The sequence below is a fragment of the Homo sapiens genome, chromosome 9 (assembly GCF_000001405.40).
Source record: "Homo sapiens chromosome 9, GRCh38.p14 Primary Assembly".
NCBI lineage: Eukaryota > Metazoa > Chordata > Mammalia > Primates > Hominidae > Homo > Homo sapiens.
The window spans coordinates 64,873,802-64,889,317 of NC_000009.12; the positions used below are offsets into that span (position 1 = coordinate 64,873,802).

General features: G+C 39.2%; 2 pseudogenes across 2 annotated transcripts in view; both read right to left on the reverse strand.

Annotated features, from left to right (window-relative positions):
• LOC100132154 (ankyrin repeat domain 30B pseudogene) overlaps window positions 1-15,245 on the reverse strand; it is a 102,646-nt pseudogene extending 87,401 nt beyond the window's left edge. The window contains exons 1-5 of one of the 2 annotated variants that reach the window (XR_007061544.1): window positions 14,795-15,245; window positions 10,603-10,717; window positions 10,267-10,440; window positions 7,885-8,020; window positions 4,382-5,308 (exon numbers count right to left, since the gene is read on the reverse strand). The product of XR_007061544.1 is annotated as an ankyrin repeat domain 30B pseudogene, transcript variant X1 (transcript). Of the gene's footprint in view, window positions 1-4,381; window positions 5,309-7,884; window positions 8,021-10,266; window positions 10,441-10,602; window positions 10,718-14,794 lie in introns of those variants that run through there. The other variant, XR_001746679.2, reaches the window with a different exon arrangement.
• On the reverse strand, window positions 6,568-6,674 carry RNU6-1293P (RNA, U6 small nuclear 1293, pseudogene; annotated as a pseudogene).
• Window positions 15,246-15,516: the final 271 nt, after the last annotated feature.

The window sequence follows — 15,516 nt, forward strand, 5'->3', positions numbered from 1 at the left end:
TTTGGGCAGTCCAATTCTTAGACAATTTTCCTGCCTCAATTTCTTCAAGAGTTTCTCCATCAATTACTGAATACCCATTGCATCTTTTTGCCTCAATCACCTGGGAAGAACCATCTATAAATAAGTGTCATCCCATCCTGAAGGGAGTTTCTCCTAGGTCTGGTCAGACTTTTGTATGGTAATCAGTTAAATCTAAACATGTGTGCTATCTCTTTAGATTTGGATCCCCTATTAGAAAAACTGCTGGGTTAAGGGAATTATCAGTGGTTAATGTTAAATCATCTTTTTCTAACAGAATAGTCTCATACTTTAAGATTCTTGAGTCAGTAAGCCACCTCCCTGCTATCTGGTTTAAGATAGTTCTAACTTGATGGGGCATTCTTACTGTCAATTTTCCTCCAAAGGTTAACTTCCTGCTTTCTTTGACCATTAGTGCTGTAGCCACAATGGATTGGATGTATTGAGGCCACTCACAAGTAACTGGATCTAAGACTTTTGACAGGAAGGCCACCATGGGCTGCCGATGGCCTCCGTGTTCTTAAGTGAGCATTCCTAAAGCTACCCCATTATCCACATTGACAAAAAGGTGGAATGGCTTTTCTAGGGAAGGTAAGGCTAAGAGAGGGGCTGTTATAAGCCTTTTTTTCAGCTCTTCAACCTGATCGACTTCCTCAGAAATCCACAGGAAATGGTCAGTCTTCCCCTGGGAAAGTTTTGGATATAGAATTTTACTGTTTAGTGCATGTGAGTTAATCCATAAGCAGCAGTATCCAACTAACCCTAAAAATTTCCTGAGTTCTTAAGTTTGAGGCAAGGGTAGGGACACGATTCCCTCAACTCGTTCAGGCCCTATTCTTCACTTCTCTGCACTTATCAAGTGGTCTAAATATTTAATTTCAGGTTCTACATACTGAAGCTTTCCCTTTGAGACTCATAACCCCTCGAACTGCAGATGGTTGAGAATATGTGTAGAGAAGCCAGCTACCTTCTCTATATCTTCACCAGCGTATTGGAGCAGGCATATTTGTTTGGGATGATAACTTTTTCTAATACTTGTTCTAAAATTTGACTGAAAAGGTTAGGGGAGTTTGTGAACCCTTGGGGTAAGACTATCCATCGATATTGTTTCTACCCTGAATGGGGATCCTCCCACTCAAAAGCAAATATATCTGGCCTATCTTCTGCCAGGAGACATGCCCAAAAAGCATCCTTCAAATCTATTACAGTAAACCATTGATTATTATATGGAATCTTGCTGAGAATGCTGTAAGGATCGAGGACAATGGGGTGGGTAGTTTGGACTATTTGGTTAATAGCCCTAAGGTCTTGTACCAGCCGGTATGACCCATGTGATTTCTTGACTGGCAATATTGAGGTGTTATAAGGGGACATAGAGGGCTCAAGAAGCCCATCTTTAATAAGACCTTCAATTATAGGTTTCAACCCTATCCTGCCCTCTAGGGGAATGGGGTATTGTTTCCTCCTTACTACTTCCCTGGGGATTTTTAGCTTCATGTGCTTGGAGGGACTCAGAGTTTCTCTCAGTTTCCTTCTTTGGATCAGACATTAGGATTAATATATTTTTCATCTGCAGTGGTGAGTAGCTTTAATGAAGTGAGGAATCCTCTTGGGCTGAGCTGCAGGCCTATGCCTAACTTCAACATTAAATCCCTCCCTAGTAAATTAGTCCCTGCTTTAGGGATTAACAAAAACTGAATATGAGCTGATTGAGCCTGGTATCTGACTGCTGTGTTTTCTAAAATTTTTGCTTTAAATCCTTCTCCCTTTACCCCACAAACCAAAAGTTCCTCTGAAGAGCAGGCAATTTAGATGGGGGGAAAACAAACAGAGGATCGAGCCACTCCTGAATTGACTAAAAAGGTTATAAACTCATGCTTAGGTCCCACTTCTAGACTTATCAAGGGCTCCTGGTGGAACTCAAGATAAAAGAGACAGAACCCCTGACCCCATTATTCTTCCTCAAAAGCCATGAGTGGAAGGGCTTCTTTTTCCTTTTCTAATTTGGGACATTCTCTCTTGAAGTGGCCTGTTCTTCCACATTTGTAGTGCCTACCTTGCCCTTCCTCACTCTCAGTTCTGGGATTCTTTGATTTTACTCCCCCATACTATTTAGATGGCCTGGTAGATGAGAGCCTTGATCCTCCCAATGGAGGCTTGGGTCCTTTAAAGGAGGGTTTGGAACCTTTATAGTTTCTGGCCCACTGGAAGCTTTGTTTAGGGGTACATGGGTTTGGAGCGATCTGTTAGAAGGTGAATAACATAAGTTTTGTCTTTTGTTTTTGCTTTTCTTCGTCTCTCTTTACAGATACTTTTTGAGTCTCTCTGAGAAGTTCACTTGAGGTCAGTTTTCCCAATCTTCTAATTTTTGTAACTTTTTTGAAATATCTGGACAATGTTGGCCAGGCACAGTGGCTCATGCCTGTAATCCCAGGACTTTGAGAGGCCAAGGTGGGTGGATCACGAGGTCAGGAGATTGAGACCATCCTGGTTAACACGGAGAAACCCCGTCTCTACTAAAAATACAAAAAAATTGCTGGGCGTGGTGGTGGGCGTCTGTAGTTCCAGCTACTCGGGAGGCTAAGGCAGGAGAATGGAGCAAACCTGGGAGATAGAGCTTGCAGTGAATCAAGATCGCACCATTGCACTCCAGCCTGGGTGACAGAGAGAGACTCCATCTCAAAAAAATAAAAGGAAATATCTGGACAACTTTTAGTGACAAAATGGAGCTTTAACATTCCCTGTCCCAGGGGATTTTCCAAATTTAGGCCTGCATATTGTCTCATTTGCTCCTTTAGTCTGTCTAGGAATTTCATAGTCCACTCATCTCTCTCCTGTTGTATATCAAATGCTTTAGAGAGATTTTGAGTTTGGGGTACTGAATCCCTAGTTTCTTTCATTATCATTTCCCTTATGTCTTGCATGTTTTCTTGGTGAGCTGTGTTTTTATTATCCCACTGGGGATCTTGGGCAGGGAATTTTTGGTCCGTGGTAGGAACGTTTTGACAAGGAGGGTGTTCATATTCCCAAATTGCCTTAGCAGCCCTACAGATCAGATCATTCTTCTTTCCTCCTCCGAAAAGAGGATGCCTAAGATGGACATAAACTCGACCCAAGTGTATAACTGAGGTCCCAAGAATTGATCAACCTGATTTGCCACCTCATAAGGGTCGTCTAACAATGGCTTAATTTCCTTTTTCAAACTTCAGGCTTCTGAACTGGTCAAGAGAGCATTCACAAATACAATGGCTCCTCCTCCTAGTGGCATGTCTTTTAAGGGGAAGAGAGTTGGTTCTGACTCCTTATGTGTGGAGAGAAAAGGGAAGTTCTGAATGTCCTTTTTACATTGCTGTACCTCATGCTGGAGTCCCTTTAGGGAGAGGTATTTAGGTTGACAGGGGACAGGCTCATGGGATGATAACTCCCAAGAATTAGATGTAAGGAGGAGGAACAGCTTGAGCAGGAGAAGGATCTGGGGTGGGATCTGGGGTGGCAACAGCTGCCCGAGGGGAAGGGACAGAGGCACTGAGCAGGGCAAAATGGTATAGGGAATCCCATGTGCTGGCTTTAGGTGTGGGAGTCAGCTCATCTGACTTTTCAATTTGAGATGCTGGATCGGGTTCTTCCCTAGTTGTCTTTAAGGGAATAAAGACAGGTCCCTGTCTCCATAATCTAGTTCTTGAGAAACCAGATTTTTATCATTAACATATTGAATTAGAAGTTGACACATTACATCCTCATTCAACCCAAACTTTGGCCAGAAGATTGAGGGTTTGAAAATGGGACCTTGGGTCCAAATGAAACAGCAATATTTTATCCTCTAATGCTTTTTCTTATGTTTAGTCCTCTCATTATGCTTCCAATATTTTAACATGAGACCCAGGGGACTATCAGGGGGCATGTCTTTGTTACTATCCTCTTCTTTTTTGCGCCCTGTCTTTCTTGGGGCTTTTCCCATGTTAGGTCCTGGTTAGGCTCAATCCCACATGCTAGAGATTTCTTCCCTATCCTTTAACGCCACCTGCTGGAGGCTCCTTGCACGCTTCTTTCGCTTCATCCACTCTGGTTGCTTCTCTCCCAGGAATTTTAGGTCCCTCTTAGCATTCGCATCATGGTATAAACCTCACAGCAGGATCTGCCCTGAGCCCTATGAGGATACACTGAATTCCTCTTCAAAGGTTTTTTGTTCAAATAAAAAAACCGCAGATAGGACCCACTCACTCCTCACAGCAATAATGCTTAGTATCATCTACACAAACAGCAACACAAGCAGTAGTGCTTGTGATCATTCACACACACTTTCGACCTCCAGAATATCCTGACCACCAAGGAAATACTTTGTCACCCCTGCGACATTTCTTACCTCGGTCTGTGCACAGTTACCTGGTCGCCACGGTATGTGAAGATCCTTTCCCCAAAGATGCTGGCCTGTTTCTTTCCACGTTGCTGAGAGCCCAGGTTTATCAATCGCACCAGCTGAGTCTTGATTCCTTACCTTTATGGCCACTGCAACGAGGCAGCGGGGTGCGCCTCCTCACAGGAGAGGACTGGACCCTCCCCCAGAGGAGAATGGGAATGCTGGGTGGGCCCCCACATTTGTGGAAAATAAATTTTCAGTGAAACAAAGAACAGTCAGCACTCCAGCAACAAGTTTTTACAGCAAGGCAAATTTACTTCTATGAAAGAGTGGTCTTGCAGATGGAGCAATGGCAAGATCATACTGAACAAGGGAGGGGAAAGTGTTCTTATTCCTAATGCAGCTAGTCCCTACTGTTGTGTCTTTTCCCTATTGGATAGGGTTGGACTGCACACTCTTAGCTAATTCAGATGGGCTATTTCAAAGAGAGCAGGAGTATGAGCTGGAGTGGCAGGGTGTGTACTTTCAGCGGGAAAGACAGTTACAGAGCAGGTGTCTAAGGATGACTGAGGACAGAGCAGGTGACTAAGAATGACTAAAGACAAAACAGGTGTTAGAGGCTAGAAGGGGGTTGTTTAATGAAACTAGGGGCAAGGAGGCATAAATAATGAGGAAGTTAAACTTTAAAACGGAGAACAAAGAACAGAGAAGCTGAACATACTGACATATTTACTCTTTGATGAGGAACTCAGAACTCATTGTACTTAATCTTCCCCCTCTTGAATTTTAAAGGATTTTTACAGGCTAAAATCTTTGAAAAGGAATTCGCTGTATCCTATTCCTCAGGTGTTCTTTCCACCAAGCTTTCAGCCATGTCAGGTGTTCTTTACGCCAAGGGTGCAGCCTCGTCAGGTGTTCCTTCAGATGTTCCTTCTGCCAAACACACAGTCTGGTTAAATTTTCCTTCTGCTAAATATCATCCTTCTGACTCTTTACCTGGAAAACTTCTACTCATTCAGCTTGCTTTCCTTAAACACTACCAAACTTTTGTTTTCTCCTTTTTTTTTTTTGAGACAAGAGCCTCGCACTGTCGCCCAGGCTAGAGAAGAAGAAAGATAAAACACTCATGAAGTGAGGGCAGTGTAACTTAGTAAATTAACTAGAGGTAGCTTGACATATGAAAAATGTCCTTAACTCAGAATAAATCCTAGCATGGCTACCAACAGGTATTTTTTCTTGAACAAGTTGCTTCCTTAGACTCAATGTCTTCTAACAATGAGGATTTTAGGGCCTTATTTCACTATGTTATTATAAAGATTTAACAAGATAACATTTTTAAAATTCTTAAAATAAAAAGTGAAGCAAAAAAATAATTTGTTCTTGAACCTTATTGCTGAAACTATTTTAAAATTCCCAATAAAACCCAATATATTGGCCTGGTGCAGTGGCTCATGCTTGTGATGCAAGCAATTTGGGATGCTGAGATAGGAGGATTGCTTGAGTCCAGAAGTTCAAGACCAGCGTGGACAACATAGGGAGACCATGTCTTTACAAAAATTAAATTACAAAAAAAAGAAAAAACAAATGTGTTTCTTCATAGGTTATAATATTCAAATATTGCAATTTTCTGTTATTAATTCCTACTTTTGGATATTAGATGTTCTATTCTTTGTGGCTTGTAATTCAGAGCATCTAAGCTATTTTATATTTTGTAATGAAATTTATTTATAAATATATTAAATCATTAAATCAGATAACCTAATTATACTCTATTACTGAGCTCATCAGCCACACCAAGGGCAGAAAATAATAGATGTCAGCATCTGGCTTGGACTACTGCTACTCTTTATCTACCTCCTTAAACTCTGAACCAACAAATCTTTGTTAGAATGATGCTTAGTCACTATGTTCATTTCCAGCTGCTGTGGAAGACAAAACGCTACCTTTATTTTTTGTAAGTTCCACAAAGAAGATGCAAGTTGGTATTTTCTCATTTCTGAGATCCCTACTAACAAAATATTGCACACAAGATCCTATGTGTTACCACATCTCATTTCATAGATCACCTTACATAAATATTTTTTTGTATGAAAATCACAATTGCAATACTGGGTGTCACCCATTTTGCTTTGACTCACACCATTTCCTTGGAGCTAGTTAGAAAGGAGTAAAATGTCCTTTTGGGGACTGCAAGAAATATGCAACACTTTACAGATTTCTATGTCATCCTTGTGCGGGGACCATGCTGGTCTTCTCAACGTTGTTTCAATTTTACTATATGTACCACTGAAGCCAGCACAAATCCTTACTTTTATACATGAAGACTGATCAGTGATGGATGAGGCTTAGCTCTGTTAAATCTAACCAACTTACTTGAGATTTAGTGAAGTCTATTGAATGGCTTCATGGTGATGCAGCATTTGAAAATATTTAAAAAACTCGAGGTAGAGATGTAAGTAGCATGGGAGATTTTTACTTTTAGGAAAAAAGAATCACTTGAAGGGACAACCACAAGTTGGAACCCACTACAACTTGGGAAAGATGACATGGGATTTTACAGAATAAGGTGAGACCTTCCACTACCTACAAAATGGTGCTACACAGGATATAAAGGGCCAGAGATATAGATCTGGTAACAAAGACAAAATGGATCTCTAATTTCTTCCTGTAACATTATTTCAACCTGAGTTACAGTTTCAAACTACCACAACTAATATTGGCTAGAGAAAATAGAAAAAAGCCAATCAAAGGATAACTTACCATGAAGGTCTAGGCCATATCCAGGCTAAGATGTGGGTTTCATGTCAGGTTTTGAGTGTGAGAAGAAGGGTCAATTTGCTCACTATGTGTGTGGCTAAAGCTAAAAGTTCTAGCTGCCAGAGTGGGGTGCTGGTACTTTGGAAACAATGGCTGAGAATATGTACGTGAACTTTAAAAACATGTAATAACTTCGAAGTCTACACCATGAAGACTGAGAGATCTGCGTTACTAAGGGCATCCTGGTCACAAAGGTCAATCATTACCAGACTGCAGAAGCAGTTTCAATGGCAATGATGCAGCAACAGAATCAATGGAAACAACAAAATAAAGAGAATGGCCATTTCCCAACCCCCCAATCCTTCTGACTTGTACAAAAAGAATGTCTTCCTTGGACTTAGGTTCAGATTCTTTTAAAAGATTCAAGAATGAAGGTATGGAAGACAGCCCCCAGGGGACACTGTCAGGTTTTCTGCTTAAAGTGGACATTTTGAGACCCAAATAACTAATTAGAAAAACCAAAATTGTGACATTATGTTTATCCCATGCATAGGGGTTATACTTCAAATCAAGTAGACAACATTAGCATCCCTAAAGCCCTAAAATAAAGAATCCTGGAGCCATTATTCCTTCTAACTAGTATAGCTTTTTGCCTGGTTTCTGGCTGATGAAGTGAACTAACTCACTGTCATTCAAAAACTACCTGAAACAAACTATAAAATCTCACCTAGTCTTTAAATGTAAACACTTACAGATTAAACCCACAAGCAACAGCATAACGTTGCAATCATTCCACACGTATCTTCAGCACAGATGTCAACATTTTGCTGAAGAACCATGCCAACTATCTCTGATGATCCATGGCATATGGCAAGCATGAGGGCTGTGCTAAAATCACAAAGAGATAACTTCATTATTAGGAACAGAACCAGTTTAATATGTGCCTGTCAGTGTAGAATTAACCATTTACATGTATTAACAAATGTTAAGTATCTTGAGTGCTCAAGTGTTTATCTTTGTAAATCACGACCAAGGCTAAAAGGAAGGGGTGAAAAGACTCATGTCTCACTGGTATATGGCATAGTAGTACTGCACCTTCTCTTGTAAACATTCAGCCTCTGCATCACTACATCAACTCTGGTTATCTCCAAAAATCATTATACTGTAATGATTTTATTGTTTCCCATGTAAACCAAGAGCTTCTTGAGGGCAGGGTCTGTATCTTTTACCTCTATATAATTAAACCCTAAGACATAGTAGTAAATATTTTATTTTTTACTAAGTTAGTAATCTAAATTATTACCTCTAGAACAGTGTTTCTTCAACTATATTCCAAAGAATAATTACCTTACCAGAAGCACTGTACCCCAACAGATTCCACCATTATCTGTGTTCAAGAAATGTTATAAAACTGTGAATTAAATGTTCATTATTCAAGAAATGAATTGAACTTTACCTAATCCCTATTGACAGTATATTTTTGTGGCAAACATTAACATTTGACAAATAGAATTTCAGGGATGCAGTTCTGAAAGCTTCCCCCCAAAAATGGAGGTTTCCTCTGGGTGATACAAACTCACTTGATTCTCTTCTGTCAATGATCCCAAGATTCCAAATGCCAATGTCAGGCACTTCTGCTCTAAATGGGTCAATAAGGAAGTGGCTCTAAATTAAAAGAGGTTGGCTTCAAATAAACTTTGATTGCTCATTATTAAATGGTCCATGGGGTTTATCCTATTACCAGACAATAGGATTTTATCTCAGCTATTAGAAATTCAGTATAAAAGCCCAGGTGAGGTGGTTCATGCCTGTAATCCCAGCACATTGAGAGGCCAAGGCAGGCAGATCACAAGGTCAGGAGATCGAGACCATTCTGGTCAACATGGTGAAACCCCATCTCTGCTAAAAATACAAAAAATTTAGCTGGGCATGGTGGCACATGCCTGCATCCCAGCTACTTAGGAGGCTGAGGCAGGAGAATCGCTTGAACCAGGGAGGCAAATATTGCAGTGAGCCGAGATCACACCACCGCACTCCGACCTGGTGACAGAGCAAGGCTCCGTCTCAAAAAAAAAAAAAGAAAGAAAGGAAAGAAATTCAGTATAAAATTTTATTCTCTATTATAATGATACTCCTAGGATCCTAATGCATATCTACTTCTTAAAATGCAATAATCCATTTTTATTCTGGTTTCTATTGTAATTGATACTATTTTTTGGCAAAATATCAGAAGCATGAATAAAATGGCTTATTAATGAAAGTTCTAACTCATGTATATGGCTTAGCAAAATAGAAGCCACTAAATAACTTGAATTTTAAGGGACAATTCTGCGGAGAAAGATATAATATTTTCTGCAATATGCATAACCTATTCAAATATAACCATGATTAATCTAAGAAGGCTTAAAGGCCTTCTAATAGAAGATGATTATTTATGGTTTATATGAAGAAAAATAATCATTTAAAAAATATTCTAAATTCTAGAAGACTACCCCATTATTAATGAATTAATGTAAAATATAAACTATATATTATAAACACCTATAAACTGTCTTTGATAACTTGAAATCTTTACCAAAATATACTATGAGAGAGGAATTGATAAGTGAAATATTTACAGAGGCAAAAGAGGTCAGTTGAATAAGTGATGTAACTAGGTGGGCACAGTAGCAAACTGGAAACATATGCTTTATGTAAAGCTAGAATGTCTTCATAGCATACCAAACAGTCATATGGGCTCAAGAGACACCAGATTCAATCCTTTAAGAAGAAATCCAGATTTCTGCATGTCTCTGAAATTTTACATGTTGACTCAATTTATGCAGGCAAATTTTAATTTCCTGTAGTTTTACACTAACTGGAAAGAAAAAAAAACTTGGGTGCTAAAGAATATTTGAAAATGTTTTACCTTTAACAAATTCAAATATTTATCATAATGCACAGAAAAGCCATACTAATAGTTCTTGTAAAAATATTAATATTTAAAGCAAAATCCTAGACAATTAAGTTTTGTCAAACTATTTTCATAGAAAAATAGGAATGTTTGAGCTTCCAAATATAAAACAATTTACATATGTTAATGTTAAAACAAATGGATTTCAAATATTTTGAAAATAGCATTGGTTAACGTCTACCTTGTTCATCACTTCGATGTCTGCACCTTAGGACAGCAATTTTGCCACCACTGACAAGTTCTCACTATAAACAGCATAATGGACAGCTGTGTTGCCATACACATCTACAATATTTGGATCAGCACCAGAATCTATGAGAATATTTGCACAAGCCTCCCTCTGGCATTGCAGAGCCTGTTAGTATTAAAGCAAGAAGTAAATTATAAATTATAGGAAATATAAATAAATATTCCACAGGTTTCACAAACTAATTATATTTCAATGAGATAAATTCATCTTTATTCTATGTATTTAAACCAAATCCATCTCCTGCTGAAAGAACTGGCTACAATTTACCTTCATCAGAGGTGTCCTGTTTTCACCATCAAGGACGTCAACCTGGCGTTTTCTATCTACCAGTAGTGTTACTACTTCTGCGTGGCCATTGGCACAGGCCCAGTGTAGAGCAGTCCTACGAGAGTGAGAGGACTTTTTAGGAAATTTTAGTCCACTGTCTCAAAACATATAATGATTTATGTAATTGTCAACATTAAATATCATGCTCTTTCTCTGCCTTCAAAACAAATATTTAATATTCTCCTGAAGAAAGTACAACATTCATTCGCTCTTATTACTCACTACATTAATGAAAGAGTGGCCTATTTGAATAGAAAGAGCTTGGCCTTTGATTCAGTTCAACATGGGCTTGAATATTACTTTAAAGTCTTTCACCTTCTAGCTATCACTTAACCTTTCTGTGCCTCAATTTTCTCATCAATAAAGTGAAGATGAATACAGCAGTTATCTCACAGGACATCACTGTGATGCCTCATGAGAATCTGTGCAACGTTTTTCAAAGAATTCCTAGCACATGTAACAGCTCAGTAATTGTTAGATATTGTAATTATTTCTACTACTTAACAAAGAAAACATTTTAAGTAAAATGGTACAATTATGCCTACTTTGTGGTATGTTTTAAAGGTTAGAGATAAACCTGTAGTTTAATAATTCTAAGATACTCTATTTCTCATATTTTAACATCTCTGACATTGAAATGCCACTTATAAGTCATTATTTGTTACAAGTATATTCTGCAGAAATTTAAACAATCTTTTATTGTTACATAAATAAGGAGGCATCACACAATTCACGGTGCCTTCCATGAAGTGGCATATGGTATATACAACAGGATGATGGCAGTCCTAGTCATAGGATTAACACTTAAAGAAATTTTAGCTTTTAAGAGTGCTACACAAAAGGAGAGTTGAAATAAAAACAAACTGTTAAAACAAAGTACTTCTTTAATATTTTTAAAACTTCAAGCCAAAGAAAACTTGGGATTAAAGTAGGTATGGATCATTTTATTCCATATTTAGATTTATAGAATGTATGTAAATTCATATTTAAATTTATAGAATGCATGTAAATTAGGTATTTCCAATGATTAATATTACTATTTAAAGCTGTTATAAATTTCCAAAATCATGGTTGGTAGTTATGTTTTACTAGTTTCTTACTTCAGAAGTGTTTTTGTTTTAAAGATGAGAGGAAAAGCTTCAATTGAGATTCAGTCCTAGTACTCCAACTTTAAATCTCTCACTTTGCTAAGGCTGAGCAGGTAAATGTAAAATTTTTAAGGATGAAAGGATCTTGAGAGTTAATGTATCTTCTACATAATAGGCATTCAGCTTACATGTGATAAATTGATTAAAAGGATAAATACAGTTGAGAAGTTCAATACCTTAAAAAAACTGCTATAAATAAAGCACTTATATTTTCTATTTTATTTTCTTAATAATAAAACTACACTAATTAATCTATAATTATTGACATATATGTAATAAATCTATATATAATAAAAATATGTGTCTAATAAGATGTATATGTAAATCAACAAGCACAGGTAAAAAGATTGTCTTTTGAAGATGCTAAAAGTTCACAGAATATACTAATCCACAAAAAATAAAAATTAAAGTATGGAAAGTGAGAAATTATTTTCATTGGTGCAAAATTATATTCCTGCTCTTCCCAAAAATTATTTCATTAATAATAAACTTTTTCTAATAGCATTGTACATGCTCAATGTGGAAATCAAAGATAATAAAAAGGAAAAACATTTTATATTAAAACAAATGCCCTCAAATAACAAATTTTATCAGGTTTCATACACAATTTCAGATAACACAAGACTGTAGTCTGTGTGTATGTATAATCAAACTGAACTTTACCCTCACTTGATACACCAAAATACATTTTCAAATGTCACCTACTTCTCTACATATTTCTACCTTCAGTGGTCACATATTATCCCATGCTGTAAATTCACTGAAATGTATTTATAAAAGTCATTATATGGATTCTTCTTAATAATATGGTACTTACCACCAAATTGTCTATTTGAAAAGTTATCTGCAACTTAAACTTTAAACAGCAGTGTAAATATCACTGCTCTTTTTCCTCATAAACTTTGTAGATAGAAAGCAGTGTTTGATTCCTCTTTTAACTTAAATGCCTTCTGTAACCAGGAACACTAAATATTGTTTTCTGTGTGCATAGGTCACTTGCAGATCTTAAGAAAATACTTTTCCAATTTTAAATTAGAAGCAAAGTACTATTTTTAGACCTGCAATTTAGATCTCTAATTTAAATTGCTCAATTTTAAATTAGAGGGTTTTTTGTTGATTTAAGTGAATTATCTATAAAAGGACGATTTTTAAATCTAATATGTATACACACACGCACATACATGTGTAGTAAATATTTTACAAGTATGCGGCCTTTTATTTTTTCTCATTACAGTTTAATTTAATTTTGTTTTGCTTAATTATCCTTCAGACTGCTTGCTTCTGAGCTTCTTAGAAAGGTGTTGTCAACATAAAAATGTACCTGTGTAAATAGGCATTTATGTTTTCTTCTGGTGCTTTTATCATTTTGTATATTAAAAAAATTAATCTATATTCCGTTAGAAATTTACTTTGTGGCATAAAAATCTAGTTTTCTTCAAAAAGCAGGCATTTCCCTTATGAAACTATTCTTTCCCTACTAGTATAAAGTGTGAGCATTATCAAGTTCTAAATTCTTAGATATTCGGGTGTTTCTGGATTTTCTACTCTGTTGTATTCATTTACCTGTCTTTTCAGCTGTTATCAAAGAATTTGTGATTTATGTATTTATTTTTGAGACACAGTCTCACTCTGTCGCCCAGGCTGGAGTGCAGTGATGGGATCTCAGCTCACTGCAACCTCCACCTCCCAGTTTCAAGCGATTCTCGCTCCTCAGCCTCCCGAGTAGATGGGCTTACAGGCTACCGACATCGTGCCTGGCTAATTTTTGTATTTTTGTAGAGTCGGGGTTTCACCATATTGGCCAGGCTAGTCTTGAACTCCTGACCTCAGGTGATCCACCCGCCTCGGCCGCCCGAAGTGCTGGGACCACAGGCATGAGCCAGCACGCCTGGACTTTTTTTTTTCTTTTTTCAAATTTTATTTATTTATTTATTTATTATTATTTTGAGACGGAATCTCGCTCTGTCACCCAGGCTGGAGTGCAGTGGTGCGATCTCGGCTCACTCCAAGCTCCGCCTCCCAGGTTTACACCATTCTCCTGCCTCAGCCTCCCGAGTAGCTGGGACTACAGGTGCCCGCCACCATGCCCGGCTAATTTTTTGTATTTTTAGTAGAGACCGTGTTAGCCAGGATGGTCTTGATCTCCTGACCTCGTGATCCACCCACCTCGGCCTCCCAAAGTGCTGGGATTACAGGCATGATCCACCGTGCCTGGCCGTGGCCCATTTTGTGCAAATTAATAGCACATTTTGAAATCTAGAAGAGCAAGACTTTTCTACTCCGTTAGAAAAATTTTTAAATGTCATCACAGTAGTAAAAGACAGAGTGTGTAATTTTAAAAATGTTAAAATGTTGATGATTTTATTTGGTTTATGTAAAACTGATAAAGAACTTGCATCTTGAGAAAAATGAGTCTTCTTAAATTCGAAAACATAAACCATCTTCCCACCTCAAAGTTACCTTCTAAGGTCCCTCAGCAAAGATTATATTTACATAGACATTCATTGATATTGAAATGGATACTGGACTTTATCCAAAAAATTTTTAGCCAAGAAGTTAATATATTATGGGAATTATTTCATTATGCACCATTTCATAATGTATCTAACGTTATCTTTTAAAACCTGTACATTAAAAGTAAAACCCTGTATGTACTTAATTTTGTAAGTTAAATCACTTTAAAATTCTCTACACAGTGCTCTGTGAGAGGAAGTGGAAGTGAAGGAGAAAGCAGCTAACTAAAGTTTGAGGTTGATTTTAAGGTGGCCTGGGCCCTCCACCCTGCAGGGCGCCCCCATCCAAGGCCTGGGGGGCCTGCCCGGGAAGAAGATCAAGACCTCGGGGCCCAGGACAGCCGCCCCGCTGCCCGCCACTCCTCCACCTGCTCCCCTCGTCCCCAGGACCCCCAGCCCCCACTCTGAAGGGGCGATCCTCCCACAGCCGCCTCCTCCTCCTGCAGCCCCGGCTCAGGCACGGTCTGGTACCTCTTCTTCGCATCTCTTATGTTCAGGTCCATTGTCGTCTTCTTCATCATCCTCTCCAGCTTCCAGGCTTGGCCACGGGAGGCAGCTTTGTGGATCTTCCTGAGATCCCCATGGTGAATCACGTAAGAGCCATTGTTGGTGTAGACCAGCTGACTGAAGGGGCTCCGGCGCTCCGGGCCCGTCTGGCCCTTGACAGCGGCGGCAGAGAGCCTCTCCATGGCTGCAGCCACCTGCTAGACAGAGCCCGCACCTCCCGCTGCTCGCCCTTCCCCAGTCCCCGCCGCTCGCCCTCGCCCTTCTTCAGTCCCCGCACCCGCCCTGACACCAGTAGAAATCTCAGTCGGGCCAAGCTTTTGGACACTCCAGCCTCTCCTGGGAGAAAATCGCTGCGCAAAACCATTAGGCAGCTGAGCAGAACCGTTAGGCAGCTGAGCAGAACCTTTAGGCAGCTGAGCAGAACCGTTAGGCAACAGAGCATGCGCAACTCAGCAGACCGGGGAGACAGGCGAGGCGGGAAACCGCCCGGGCTATGCTTCGCCCAGCACCGCGTGCAGGTGGCACCTGCCACTGAGGTGCTGTCGGGCTGGCGGGGCTCCCTGGAGCGGAACGTGGGGGGCTCCCTGCCACACGGCCTGCTTGACAGAGCCGCCCCTGGCCCCTCCTCAACCTGAGATCCAGGAGCTGGGCCCTGGTGCTGGGCATCGTGCAGCCTCTGTGGTGGC